Below are 15106 nucleotides of genomic sequence, written 5' to 3'. Positions count from 1 at the left end.
TTGAAAAGTTATTCATAACTGAAAAACATAAGAATGATATTAATGTAACAAACCATTTTCCATGACAGACAAGCAAGGAATGAATTAGAGAAGCAAATCTGGGGTACAAGTCAAGTTGCGAGGAGGAGGAAAGGGAAAGGTGATTCACCTTTCCATAAAGCAGTCTTCCCGTGCCTTTAAATTAAAGAAGATCATGACACCTTCAATAGACGCACAAAAGTAATTGCCTGTTGTCAGAGAAACGTATCCTGGCTTCTTAGAAATTATAGGCCATAACTATGTCACATCAACCAAATTTATTTTAACAGAGAAATTCTTCCACTTGCTTAGTTCATATCCCACTTTGATGGAATAAAACCCCATTATTCAAATACTTTTTTCATACTCCCAAACCTCTCTCCCCGATCACCACCCAAATACAAAGACTTCTGCTTACCATCTGTGATGGCAAGTTTTATGCGTCAACTTGGCTAGACTATAGGTGCCAATTACTCAATCAAACACTAAATCTAGGTATTGCTGCGAAGGTATTTTATAGATGTGATTAAAGCCTATAATCAGTTGACTTTAAGCAAAGGAGATTATCCTACATAAGCAGTCAGCTGAAAGACCTTAAGAGAACTGAAGTTCCCGGGAGAAGAAATTCAACCTAAGAACTACAGCTTCAGCTCATGCCTAGAGTTTCCCCCTACCTTTCCCAACAACCTGTACCGCAAATATGGGGGCTGTGTATTTCTGTTACCTAGCCAGCCACCACCTTCCCAATTCTTTGCAATGAATCTCTTGGGGTACACACACACACACACACCCCTGCATGTGCAGGTGTTTGCATGTACATGTACATTTTGTATGTACATATATGCATGTAATCCTGCTGATTCTAGTTCTCCAATTGAACCATGGCAGATATACCATCTCAAACAAAACTAAGTACACATTCTGGAGACAATTGAGCTGGTTTTGAGGACACCAGAGTAATAACATCTAGCTTGTAGGAAATATCCTCAGAATAACTATTCCATACACAAAAATAAGGTTACTGCTAGAAAAAAAGAAAAAGCCCCAGGAAATGGACTATTATTCTACAGCTAACCTTTCACGTCTAAAGACCTTGCATACAGGCCTCCAATCCAGACCACTTAGACCAAAAACCCTCTTTAACGTTATCAGGAATGCATTGACAATTAGTGTGCAATAATCCTAAATCAGATACACAGGACAAAAGAGAACTTGCCTGGAACATGGTTCTAAATAGCCTCACCACAGAATCTAGAATGAAGGATTTCACTTAAGATGAAATATGAGACAACCTACCAATAGCTCACTCATGTTTCAGATTTTACTTAGATTTGGCCCTTTAATTTCACTGTCCAGCACTTTTGAATGCATTTTTAAAGTGGAAGAACTGTTTCTACAACTAAATTTGATCTTACAAAACAATGTTTACAGTGGAATAAAACAGCTAAATAGAGAATAGGCATACCAAAAAATTCCTCTCTGGAGTGCATGCTTAATCTTTTCATGATTCTTTACCACTGAAAAAAATCCACTGATATAAAGATGAACAAAAAAAATCAAGCAATAAAAACCATGTTAACATTTCCATGGCGTCTGGTAACCTAAAGTTTGGCATGTGGCTATTTCTGTGAAAATCCTGCTGATTTTCTTCAAAATCTACAGGTACTTCATTCAATGTAGTAGATTTTTTTCCTCTTTAACCTTTTCTATCACCATCTGTCTAAAATTCAGAATTGCCAGTTAGGACAAGAGATAATTTGTTGCTCGTTCCAGGAAGGATAAGGGTTAGAATGGTTGTCAGAACTCTCAGAACATCAGCCATTTGTGTAAATCAGAAGCCAGACACTTGGGCTTTTGGGAAATGGGGCCATTAGCTTTAGGATTAAACAAGCTGTTCTCAGGGAATCAACTGCTATTAACTTTCATTAGCTAACATTTGCCCTCTCAATGGAGAGAAAGGAATGCTGTGATGTAACATCAGAGAAAGAGAAAAGCCAAGAGAGGGGGTGTGGGCAAATGACTCTGTCAGCGGCCACTGATGTTGTGGTTTGGTTATATAGGGCCTTTACTTATTAATTTGAGCTAAAAAGAATGGCAATAAAATACATGATGTTGGCTTATGTCAATAAGTCAGACTACATGATGGATAGCAAGTTATTCCTGCTGAAAATTAGGGGTCTTTTTGTTAATTCCACCTCTTTAATCCTTTATTCTGTCTGCTTGTCCTGTGCTCATCCTGAAATCAAAATTTCTCCCGTTTTATCTTCTCTCAATTTCTGCACCCTCCTTTTTATCTGTCTGGGTTTGAAAATATGGAACATCTACAGCTATGCCCTCATTTGACTGACCACCTTCCCAAAAGGAAAGAAGGAAAGGTTAGAGAGCTCAGGTAACTGAGACCAGGTCATGAAGGTGGGTGGCATAGCATTTTCTCTTGCTTTTTTACCAAATACACTTCACAGACCCTTCCCTGTTACAATGGCTTTGTCTATTCAGGGCTCTGGGCATGAAGGAGTCAGATAGATACCTTGACCTTTGCTTGGGAAAGCACAAAGAAATAGTGTACTGTTCTGTTTGCACCCTCTCTCCAGGTTACTTTGGGTCTAATGTTAGAGAGGGGAGGAGGACCTGTAACAAGGTCTGCCCAACATCCCAAGCTGGCTGCCCTAGCTTTGAGTATCCCCTCCCCTTTGTGAAATGTAAATTTAGGATGATGATGCTGGAAAATGACATAAGACTTTGTGCTTACCCAGTAATTTTCATGCAGGTGGGGTGTGTCAGAAACTACAGGGACTGAGAGTAAGGATGCAGGGGCATGTGCTGTTTGAAAAAGGTTATTTAATATTATTACACTACTTTTTTTATTTGAAAGATAAAAATACCCATTGATTTCGTAATGCAAACTAATTAGAAGAAAGGCTTCAAAATATCTTCCGGAGTTATACAGATATGTGGAAAACTTATTTTATGATTCTAAATGGGAGAAATGGCACAGACTCTCAATGTCAGTGGACAAGTACGTGACATTTTCGTATCTATCAAAAGGGAACAAGATTTGCTAAGCTCAACAAATACTATTCTAAATTTAGGAAGAAGTGGCCAATAAGAAAGAAAGGGAAGGGGTCCCACAACCTAGTATTGAGACCCACCCACTCCTGATCCATTCCCTCTCTCAACCTCCTGCATGGCAGTCCCCTTGGGAGGTTCAAAGCAGCCCCTTTGCTCCACGTAATGCATCCTGCCTCATTTTCTTTTCCTCTCTGGACTCTCAGATGCAGAGTGCAGAGGGTGAATAATTCGGATGCACTCTTACCATTGGCCATCCCTGGTCTAAAGAAAGGATGTGAGGCAAAGGATACCTTCGCAGGCAGATACTTCTGTGCCATCTTCTCCGTGTGTCAACAACGAACGGCTGAATTTTGGTTTCTGCTCCAATCCTGTCTGCTTTCCTTTCTCAGATGTCACTGAACGGAAACTCTGGGACCGGGACACGGAAATCTCAAATTGTTTGATCACCTCCTCGTCACTGTCAGAAGATGTGGACAGCTCTTCGTCATCCCCAAAGCTGTTGACTGGGAGTAAACAAGAGCCATGAGTCTCCTGTGTGGCCTATATGCTCGAATACAGAGATAGACTCTCCAGGAAAACAGAAGAGAAGAACGTGGACAATGAGTTTGAACGAAGGCACACTCAAACTGGATAGAAAAAAAATTTAAAGCACTTTTGCAACACAAATTTGAGTCCAAAGCAAAGAATGCTCATGAAGGTAATTAGAAATACGGTATATAGCTAGAACCCAAGACAAATCATTGGGACACCCATAATCATCATAATGAACCCTCATGTTGAGCCAGGCAGCCCTGCTGATTTGTTACGCTGCTTAAATGTGTTCATAACTGGAAACAGAACGTTTATCAGCACATTTGCCTTATATGCAGTTCTAGTCAATGACCATGGGATGTATGCTCTTCATCTAATCTCATTTATTAAAACACACATAGCCAATCCCCACTTCGGAGAAGGAATATCTACAACACGATTTTATTTTCCAAAAGCTTTCTAGTTTTGAAAAGAGACCCCACCAGACGCAGTGGCTCACGCCTGTAATCCCAGCACGTTGGGAGGCCGAGGTGGGCAGATCACTTGAGGTCAGGAGTTCCAGACCAGCCTGGCCAATATGGTGAAACCCTGTCTCTACAAAAAATACAAAAATTAGCCAGGCACGGTGTCAGGAGCCTGTAATCCTGGCTACTCGGGAGGCTGAGACAGGAGAATCACTTGAACCCAGGAAGTGGAGGTTGCAGTGAGCTGAGATCGCACCACTGCACTCCAGCCTCGGTGACAGAGTGAGACACTGTCTCAAAAAAAAGAAAAAGAAGAGAAAAGAGACTCATTGTGTGTGTGTGTGTGTGTTTTAACTCATTTAGAAATTTTCTGAATCTTTCTCAGCATCAACAACCCAACCTTTGAAAAATAAGTTGTATTGTACATATTTGAGGTTTACAACATGATGGTATGGGATACATACAGATAGTAAAATGGTTCCTAGAGTGAAGCAAATTAACATATCTATCACCTCACATAGTTACTTTTTTGTGTAACAAGAGCAGCTGAAATCTACTTATTCAACAAAAGCTCCTAATGAAATACAGTTTTATTCACTATAATCCACATCTTATAGGTTAGATCTGTAGACTTGTTCATCCTGCATATCCGCTTTGTATACTTTGACATGCATCCCTACTCCTGCCCCCTGCCCCTTGGTAACTGTTTTGTTTTGTTTTGTTTTGTTTTGTTTTGTTTTGTTTTTTTAGATTCCACATCTAAGTGAAATGATGCACTATGCCTCTTTCTGTGTCTGGCTTATTTCATTTAGCATAATGTCCTCCAGTTCCATTCATGTTAGGGCAAATGGCAGATCTCCTTTTTAAAAATTTTTTTTTCATTGTCAATATAAAAATCTCCTTCCTTTCTAAGGCATATTTATGTACCACAATTTCTTTATCCATTTGTCCACTGACGGACACTTAGGTTGTTTCCTTATCTTGGCTATTGTGAATAATGCTGCAGTGAGCATGGGAGTGCAGATACCTTTATGAGGTGGTGATTTCACCTCCTTTAGGTATATACCCAGAAGATGGACTTGTGGATCATATAGTAGTATATTATTAATTTTTTTTCTTTTCTTTGAGACAGAGTCTCGCTCTGCCACCCAGGCTGGAGTGCAGTGCCACAATCTCAGCTCACTGCAACCTCTGTCTCCTAGGTTCAAGCAATTCTCGTGCCTCAGCCACCAGAGTAGCTGAGATTACAGGCATGCACCACCATACCCAGCTTTATTTATTTATTTGTTTGTTTGTTTGTTTGTTTGTTTTAGTAGAGACAGGGTTTCACCATGTTGGTCAGGGCCTCCCAAAGTGTTGGGATTACAGGCGTGAGCCACCATGCCCCCAGCCTATTGTTAATTTATTTAGGAACCTCTATACTGTTTTCCATAACAGCTGCCACCATGTACATTCCCAGCAACAGTATGCTAGAGTTTCCTCTTCTCCATACCCTCACCAACACACGATGTCTTTTGTGTTTTTGATAATAGCCTTCCTAATGAAACACCCTTTGAATTATTCATACACTTTTCCCACACCCTTGATATACCAGCACACGGGCCCTCTTTCAGTTTCTCCAACAGGCCGAGATTGTTCCTCCTGTTGAGCTCTTTGACTTTGTTGTTCCTTCTGCCTCCCCCAGGTGTTTATATGTCTGGCTCCTTCACATCGCAGGTCTCAGCTTGACTGGCACTTCATCCTACAGTCCTCCCTGAACACCCTCCCTTAAGTAGTTGCCTTCATAGCACTAAGCTTTAGTTCTCTGTTCTCCCCTATAACTTCCATGAAAATAAGGATATTTCCTATTTTGTTAACTGATGTCTCTCAATATGTAAAACAATGCCTTCTCCACGGTAAGTAGTTCATAAATACTTGTTAAATATTGAATGACTTGGTGAATACCCAGAGTTCTCCTAAGCCTGAGTGTATATCCATGCACACACACATACACACACACACACACATGCACACACACGGTTCCCTGTGCTTAGAATACTCTTCTCCAGCCCCTATATACACTAGTCAGGAATCTAACTCATCATTGAGGTCTCAGCTTAGACATCACTTCTTCCAGAAAGTCCTTCCCTGACCTCTTACAGCAGGTTCAGCAGGTTAAGAGCTCCCTGCATGTGCTGTGAAACAATTTTCTGTTCTCTCTTGTCAGTGCTCCCTCGGATGCCACGGCAGCATTACCTATCTAACTGCAAGTTACCCCACCTAATCTGCATATACCATGAGGGCGAGGAGCACATCAGACTGCCCACCTTTGCATCCAGGCCCTATCTCCAAGCCAGGCACAAAGCAGAATACTCTGTAAATATTTGCTGAATGTGAATTGGAAACCATAAATAATGGGGAATAATTTTTCATCATTTTATATCCCAAAGTCAAATAGTGATTCCAGAGAAGAATATGGTTGTTCATTCACAGATGGGTCCTGAAGATCACTTCTGAGTCAGAAGCCAGGAAGGAATAAAAAGCCATATTTCAAGTGAGAGAAAATACTTTTAAACACCAGCCTGGTCAAAACATGTATTCTCTGGCTTGTCTAAGAGCTGACATTCCTGAGGTTCTTTGGAAGACTAGCAATAATAACACACTTACTGAGTGCTCATTATGTGCCAGGCACTGTCATAAGTGCCCGACACACAAAACCTTTACAACTATTTCCATTTTTCCAAGAAAACTGAGGCAGAGAGAAGTACACAGCTGGCAGAAGATCACACCGTCAATTAAGAGCAGAACCAAGATCTGATTTAAAGCAGCCAGTCTCTAGCACCCACATTTCTAATCATAGTGCTGGAGAATCAGAGAGAGGTGGTGGAAAGAACTCTCACTCTGTGTACTCACATTAACTAGTGGAGGTCCTGTGGCCAAGTCTCTTAATCTCTCTTATGCCTTGTTTTTGGATCATTTTAAAGGTCTGGATCATCTCCCAGGTCTTTTCTAGCTCTAAAATTCTCCAACTCCAAACTTCCTGCTGGACATGCATCAACATTTGATTTGTTTTTCACTGATCTTCTCTTTTATGGAGCAGCTTCTCCATGAACATAAGAGTACATCTTTGTCATCTCACTTAATTCTATTGGCTGCATCTAACGCCACAGTAGGGCTTGAAAACCTAAGTGTCAGAAGAGACTGGATTTCCCAGCATTACTCCAATAAGCTAGGCAAATACCATTCCATCAGAAAACCACCATAATGACCAGTCTCTTCATGCCTCCATGTGCTGGGCATAGCACTCTAGGATGCGATGGACCAATGCATATAGGAGAGATCCAGGGACAACAGGAACAAAATCAAACTACTTCCACCTTTAGAGTACAGGACCAGCTAAGCACCTGGGGAGATACATGAATGTGAGGGGTGTCTGGATTAGACAACAATTGGAGTGCTTTCCAACTCTGAGATTCCATTCTAATTTATATTTTTAGGCCAATTTTTAAAATTTAAGTAGTCATAAGTCATCCATTTCAAATGAGTTAGCCAATGCATGGATATCTTTCCATCTATAAAATTAATAATTGCAACTAATTTATTAGTATATGGTTCTTGATTTTTTTTCAGTGAGCCATTGATCATCCACAGAGCAAAAATTCTCCTTGCCTGATATACAATCATACAGTAGTTATAACATTTCCCATATACTAAACATATATACCAGCTACCTTCTTGGGACTTTGCATCTACCCATTCCATGAAGTAGGAATTCTATTCTGATTATATAGATAGAAACAAAAGACAGAGAAAAGTTAAGTAACTTGTCATAAGGCAACAAATTTAAGACATTACCAAAGTTGGGACTTAAGCGTAGCATCTATGTCCCTAACCACTCTGCATATCATCAGATTTCATTGCATTAGGAAGCTGAAGCCCTATCTAGCTTACTCCTCACAGTAAGGTTCAGGGAGCTCTCCTGCTTCCACCCTGAAACCTGTGAAGAGTGCTTTCTTTGTGATGGATAAAGGTAGAGCAGAGCAGTGAAAAGGGCAGTAGTAGTGTAGATGTGAGTGCATACAGGCTTATTGTTCCTTGTGGGATTATAAACACATCCACACGTGCTATTCTAAGCCTCACTCCCCAAGGACCTCAGGGAATTCTCAGTCTAAAAATGAAACTTGCGATCTCTTGCAAAGGCCACTGAGCAGCAATAGAAGTCAATAGTGGCACTGTTACAGTAATAAAAGCAATCCTTTATGCAGCATTTATCACATGCCAGGCATTGTTCTACTGCTTGACATATGTTAACTTATTTACCCCTCACAATAACCTAAGAAAGTAGGTACTATTATTATCCCCAGGCTATGAATGAAGAAACTAAGGCACAATGAGGTTAATAACTTGCCACAGTCATAACAGTTTATAAGCAGTGAGCCAAGATTCAAACCCAAGCTGTCTTGCTCCGAAGTCCATGTTATTAATAGTCCATTACGCTCCCTCTACCATCTGTTTCCCCATGGAAAAAACTTCTTAAATTCTGGACAAAATGGATGCAACTGTGTTTTATCACCAGAAAAATAAAATCACATATATTGGGCTGGAAAAGATTTTCATGAGCATCTATTCCCTCTATTTCACACAGAAAAACTAAAGCCAAAAAGCTGAAGTGATTTGCCCACCATCGCACCAAACAAGCACCAATCTAAAGTCTACCATGTTCCAAGTCAATGGTTTTTCCATAGCATTTTCCAATCTCTCCCCAGTGTTTTCTTTTTTTTTTTTTTTTTTTTTTTTCAAATTTAAAGTTTGGCTCTTGTCTATTTGCAAGATCCCAGCTACTTGCCTTTCAATGTATCTATGCTACCAACTAAATAGCTGATGTGGGTTTCATTTAACTTAATCTTTGAAAATCACAAGGTCTCATCTAAGTTGTGACACTTATTTCAGCAATAAGATAGTATTTTCTGAAGCATCATATAAATACCAAGTTCAAATCCCTTTCCCATTAAGTACCAAGGAAATAATACAGTAGAAATTTTTATTAAAATCTTTACCTCTTCATCCAATTAACTTGCTAATGTGACAGAAAAAAAGTTACACAATTATCGTAAATGTGGATACACCTTGAAGCTGAAAGACTGTTCATTTCACTCAATCACAGAATTCAGACAGATCTCAGATATCATCTAAACATCTGCCACCAAAGAGAAAGCTGACTCTCCCGCAATCTTTCTGATACATGTACTCCGGCACCTTCATCCCTTTATTAACACACAACCAAGGTGCTACTGTGGGCTTCTTGCACTGGCAGGCAGTTAATGACTTTGACAGGCAGAAAGGTATCCAAAAATGACCTATCAATATCAAGTTCCTATTGCTATGAAGCCAGAGTGTTCCTCTCTCTAATTTTTAATCATTTTTTTTCTAGTTGAAGGAGGGGCAGAGGAAATTCCATCTTTATCTTCCAAAGAGACGGGATGGTGGGGTCTTAGTATGACAGAAACTGGCTGTTGGGAGTAGTATCACCCACGGCTAGAGTGGTTAAGAGTGCAGAATGTGAAGCCAAGCTGACAGAGTTTAAAACTGGGATATTATATTTGCGAGTCTGGGACCTAAGCAAGTTCCTTTAATCTCTCTAAACTTCAGTGTCCTCATTTTGATATCCCTTACCTCTTAAAATTGTTGAGAAGACTAAATGAGATAAGCCACGTAAAGGCCTTAGCATATGTCTGGCATATGGTATACTTTTTAAATGTTTAACTACTATTGTTATATTCATCGTCTTCATCAGCATCCCCCATCATGTCACTGCCCTTTGTGGAAATCCTTTTCTCCAGCTTGGCATTTATACGCACAGGAAAGCATGTGCCCTCTCCCAGGGTCTGACTTTGAGAACTCACCATTAGGGTTGTTGTAGTGGAAGGGTGGAAAATACAAGGGCTGAGGCAGGAGGAGATAAAGCTGATAGTGTGGGTTGTACTTCCCACCTTACCTTACAATCCTTTTTCCCAAGCCTGGAGGTGGAGTGCTCTGTAGGAGCTAACAACACTGCCTGGAAGTGGGAAGTGCCCAACACCTGCTCATTTTGTTGCTTCTTTTAAGGAAACAAAATTACCAACTGGCGATGCAAAGAGAGGATTTCTTGAGCCTGTCTGCTGCTACTTTACAGATGGAGAAAAAAATTATAAATGATCAGAGTAGCTCCAAGCCTATTAATTCCTTCCCACCCACATAGGAGCAATGCAGTGGAGGCAAGTATTGCTCACATCGTACAGACGGGAAGTAGAGACAGGTAGGGGTGGGTTGTGCTCAGTGGTGCAGTACCCGAGTGCTACTTTCAACTGCAATTTCAGGAAATCCCTTAGATACGAGATTTCTCCAATATCCACAGCAAATGGCTGCCTGTGTTGGTTGGATAAGGATAGAAATAAGGATAAAAAAAAAAGCAGAAGGGAGATCAAAGATGACAACTGCCCACATTAGACCCTAGGAAAAACGGCCACATTTCTAAAAGCACAATCTGGCCATTCCCGGACTCAAACAAGTTAGGAAAAGAGTTTTATAAATTACCCAGTCTTGATTTTTTTCAGACTATTCCCTGAGGAAGTCTAAGGTTCCCCAAAGGAGCTTCAATGCCAACGTAGACGTGGAGGTGTGTAAGGGATGCAATGCACAGGCTGGGCTCTGCACCCTTTTCAATCAGGGCTATTTTGTTTTAATATGCTTTACATTTTCATAAGATTATGCTGGGGGGAGAAGGAAGACTCTGACACATTAAGTTTTAAAAACACTGATGTAAACAAACTCCTTCATTCTCCCTCATCCCCCCCTCAAATAGAGAAACTAAGGCTGAGGCTACTTAAGAGACTTCAGTACAATCAAATAGCTAGTAAGTGGCAGAAAAAAGATCAACATCTGGTCCTCCTGCAAACATCTGTTTTGTCACCCAAACCTTGTATGAGATGTTTTGACAACTCCATTTCACATAGGAACAAAGCGATGGCACTTGTAATAGTTAAATATGAGTGAGTCAAATAGAAAATCTTCCATTACAATTAGTAACATACAAAGCACTATACTAGGCAACAAGTTACAATATTGAAAATTCCGGTTCTGATAATGGCAGAGTGATTCAAACTAACCCCTCTACAAGTAAAAAATTATAAATTCACAACAACATTTTTTAAGTCAACTATTTGAAGGCATGGTGAGCAAGAGCAGGCAGAAATTGGAGGAGATCCAATTTCTGAAAGAAGGGAACACAGATTATATATATACTTGCTGTTTTTTTTCATTGCTCTAGCAGCTACTGAGAAAGAGGTGTTAAAATCTCTAACTTTTATTTTGAAATTTTATTTCCCCTTTTAGTTTGTTACGTCTTCCTCCATGTATTTTGAAGCCCTTAATAGGTGCATACACACTTACAATTTTGTGTCTTCTTGATGAATTGACCACTTTACCACTACAAAACATACTTCTTTCTTTTTCCTAATACTCCTTGTCTTGAAGTCTACTTTGTCTGATATTAATGTAACTGCACTAGCTTCCTTATGCTCACAGTTTGCATAACTCATATTTTTTAATTCTTTCATTTTCAACCCGTCTGTGTTTATATTTAATGTATGCTTCTTATAGCTATAATACAGTTGGGTCTTGCTTTCTTCTTCATTTTGACAATCTGTACTTTCAAGTGAGATATTTATTTAATTTGCATTTAATGTATGAACATTGCTAGGTTTAGGTATGTCATTTTGCTGTTTGTTTTCTATTTGTTGCATCTGTTTTTTCATCTTCAGTTGCTCTTACTACTTTATGCATGTGTTAATAACCTGTTTGCTTAGAATTCAATTTTAATTTGTCTATTAAGTTCTTTGGCTATACCTATTTTCATTTTCTTCTGTCAACGGTTGTTCTAGGGATTGTGTCCTAAGTGAATCACAGTCTATTTTAAGCCAGTGTTATATCAATTTACAAAATTTACACGTTGCATTATACAATATTATACCACTCTACAATGATTTGTACTTTGCAACAGCATAAATAATTTACCTCCCCTCTCCTTTGTGTTACTGTCATCTCATATTTAACTTCACAGTTTATCAACCCCACAATGCAATACTGTATCTTTTATTATCTCTGTACCTTGACATACAGTTGATCATAATGACATGCACTTGAAAAGAGTGTTCTGCAGTTTTGGGATATAGAGTTCAATAAATATCAAATAGTACCAATCTCTACACAACTCTTATAGAAAGAAGAGAAAGAAAGAACATTTCTCAACCCATTTTATGAGGCCAGCATAATCCTAATATAAACTCCTTCTAACAAAGACATTACAAGTATAGAAAATCATATGCCAATATCTCTTATGATTATAGTCATAAAAAATCCTCAGCAATATATTAAAAAAAGAAATCCAATAATGTATTTAAAGGATTATATATTATGACCACATAAGGTTTACCCTAGAGAGGCAAGGTTGGTTTAAGATACTAAAGTTGATGCAATTCACCAAATTAACACAATAAAAAAGAAAAACCAAATAATCATCTCAACACATACAGAAAACAATGCTGACAGAATTTATTGTCAATTTCTGATAAAAAAAAAAAAATTTCACCATCCTATGGATATTTCTCAATCATGAAAGAAAAGGAGTGTAGGGAATCTACTAAAACCCTATAGCTAAAATCAACTGTGAGAACTACTTAGTGAATTTGGCAAGGTCATTATATAAAAATCAATTCTATTTTTATATTCTACTAACAAATTACAAATGAAATTTTTTAAAAATTCCATTTAGAAAGAGCATCAAAATGCACTAATACTTAGAAGTAAATTTAACAAAAGGCATTCAAAACTCTCACACTAAAAGCATTAAAACATTACTGAGAGAAAATAGAGGACTCAATATTGTTAAGATGCTAATTTCCCTCAACCAGTGTAATGATTTAAAGCAATCCAAACAGATATTTTTTGTCAAGTTTGACAAGTAGACTCTGAAGTGTTTAAGAAAACATAAAGGACCTAGAGTAGTCAAAATAATTTTTAAGAAGAGCAAAGTAGGGGGACCCACCTATCTGATTTTAAGACTTATTATATAGCTACATTAAATCAAGACAACTTGCTATTGGCAAAAGGATAGATCAATAAATCAATGAAGCAGAATACAGAGTCCAGAAATAGTGCCACACAAGTATGGTCTATTATTTTTTCACAACAGTGCCAACGTAATTCAATATGAAAGTCTTTTCAAAAACTGATGCTTGAGCATATGGGTATCTATTTGTGAAAAGAAACATCAACCCTTCTATCTCACATTGAGTGTGTGTGTGTGTGTGTGTGTGTATGTGTATACATATACACATATATATGATTTTGATTAATTTATATATGTAGCTATACATATATAAAAATTATATGTATATATATACATATATATAAATTATATATATGTATCAATTACATATATATAAATTAATCCTAAATCTAACTGTAAAACTTTAAACTATAGAATACCCAAGGAAAAACTTCAGAGCAATCTTTTGTGACCTTAGGATATACAAAAGCATTAACCATACCAGAAAAAAATTGCTAAGTTGGACTCCATCAAAATTAAAAACTTTTGCTCTTTGAACAATGTCATTTACAAAAAGGCAAACCATAGGCTGAGGGAAAATAAAGGGCTTCTATCTAGAATTTATAAAGACCCTTTACAACTCATAAATAACACAACCAACAAAATTTAAAAATCCAGACACTTCATAAATTAATGTGTACAAATGGCCTATAAACAAATGAAAGATGCTCCACATCAGTGATCATCAGGGTAAGACACAGTAAAATCACATGAGATACCGATAAATTGAGGGCTGTTTTTAAAAATCTTTTCTTTTTTTAACTTTTAAGTTCAGGGGTACGTGTGCAGGTTTGTTACATAGGTAAACTTGCGTCATGGGGGTTTTTTTGTACAGATTATTTTATCACCCAGATATGAAGCCTAGTACCCATTAGTTATTTTTCCTGATCCTCTCCCTCCTCCCACCCTCCACCTTCCCAAAGGTCCCAGGGTCTGTTGTTCCCCTCTATGTGTCCATGTGTTCTCACCATTTAGCTCCCACTTATAAGTGAGAACATGTGGTATTTGATTTTCTGCTCCTGTGTTAGTTTGCTAAGGATAATGGCCTCCAGCTCCACCCACGTCCCAGCAAAGGACATGATCTCATTCTTTTCTATGGCTGCATAATATTCCACGGTGCATATATGCCACATTTTCTTTATCTAGTCTACCACTGATGGACATTTAGGCTGATTCCATGTCTTTGCTATCGACAAAATTTTAAAAACCTGAACATATCAAAGTCAAGGAAGCAAAGCATCTGGAGCCCTCATACACTCCTGGTGAAAATGTAAAATGATAAAACTACTTTTGAACACTATTTGGCAGTTTCTTAAGAATTTAGGCCAGGCATGGTGGCTCATGCCTGTAATCCCAGCACTTTGGGAGGCCAAGGCGGGCAGATCAACTAAGATCAGAGGTCGAGACCAGCCTGGCCAGCATGGTGAAACCCCATCTCTACTAAAAAATACAAAAATTAGCTGGGCATGGTGACACATGCCTCTAATCCCAGCTACTCAGGAGGCCGAGGCAGGAGAATCACTCACAGAAGAACCTGGGACGCGGAGGTTGCAGTGAGCCGAGATTGCACCACTGCACTCCAGCCTGGGTGACAGAGCTGGGTGACAGAGCGAGACTCCTTCTCAAAAAAAAAAAAAAAAAAAAAAGAATTTAAACATAACATACATTTGACCATATAACCTAGCCACCCACTTCCAGATATTTTCCCAAGAAAAACAAAGACACATGTTCACACAAAGACTTACAAATGTTCATAGAAGCTTCATGTGTAATAGTCAAAATCTGGAAGCAAACCAAAAGCCTGGCAACACATGAACAGATAAACAAATTGTGGTATATAAATACAATGAAATATTACTCAGAAATCAAAAGGAAGGAACTATTTATACCTGCAACAACA

The 15106-nt window shown here is 38.6% G+C and overlaps 1 protein-coding gene across 18 annotated transcripts in view, besides 1 other annotated feature; it reads right to left on the bottom strand.

The window, feature by feature from the left end:
• The window catches only part of SYT16 (synaptotagmin 16), a 300664-nt gene that overhangs the window by 39633 nt on the left and 245925 nt on the right, over window positions 1–15106 (bottom strand). For 16 of the 18 annotated variants that reach the window (NM_001367650.1, NM_001367661.1, NM_001367659.1 and 13 more), the window contains one exon: window positions 3378–3590. The exons of the other annotated variants lie outside the window; for them this stretch is intronic. Coding sequence is in view for 13 of the 16 variants with exons in the window: in NM_001367661.1 (NP_001354590.1) it covers window positions 3378–3590 (213 nt within the window). In the remaining 3 variants the exon portion in view is untranslated. The remainder of the gene's footprint in view (window positions 1–3377; window positions 3591–15106) is intronic. 18 annotated transcript variants of the gene reach the window in all.
• Window positions 1710–2211: an enhancer, noted in NCBI's record as "NANOG hESC enhancer chr14:62537700-62538201 (GRCh37/hg19 assembly coordinates)". NCBI's record gives its function as "activates a minimal SCP1, AML or CMV promoter by ChIP-STARR-seq in primed H9 embryonic stem cells {active_cell/tissue: H9 hESC(primed)}" and the evidence as "EXISTENCE:reporter gene assay evidence [ECO:0000049][PMID:30033119]".

This window comes from Homo sapiens, chromosome 14 (assembly GCF_000001405.40).
Source record: "Homo sapiens chromosome 14, GRCh38.p14 Primary Assembly".
In the NCBI taxonomy this organism is placed as follows: domain Eukaryota; kingdom Metazoa; phylum Chordata; class Mammalia; order Primates; family Hominidae; genus Homo; species Homo sapiens.
Note: the sequence above shows the minus strand (reverse complement) of the source record. Positions and strands in the feature narration are given on the sequence as shown.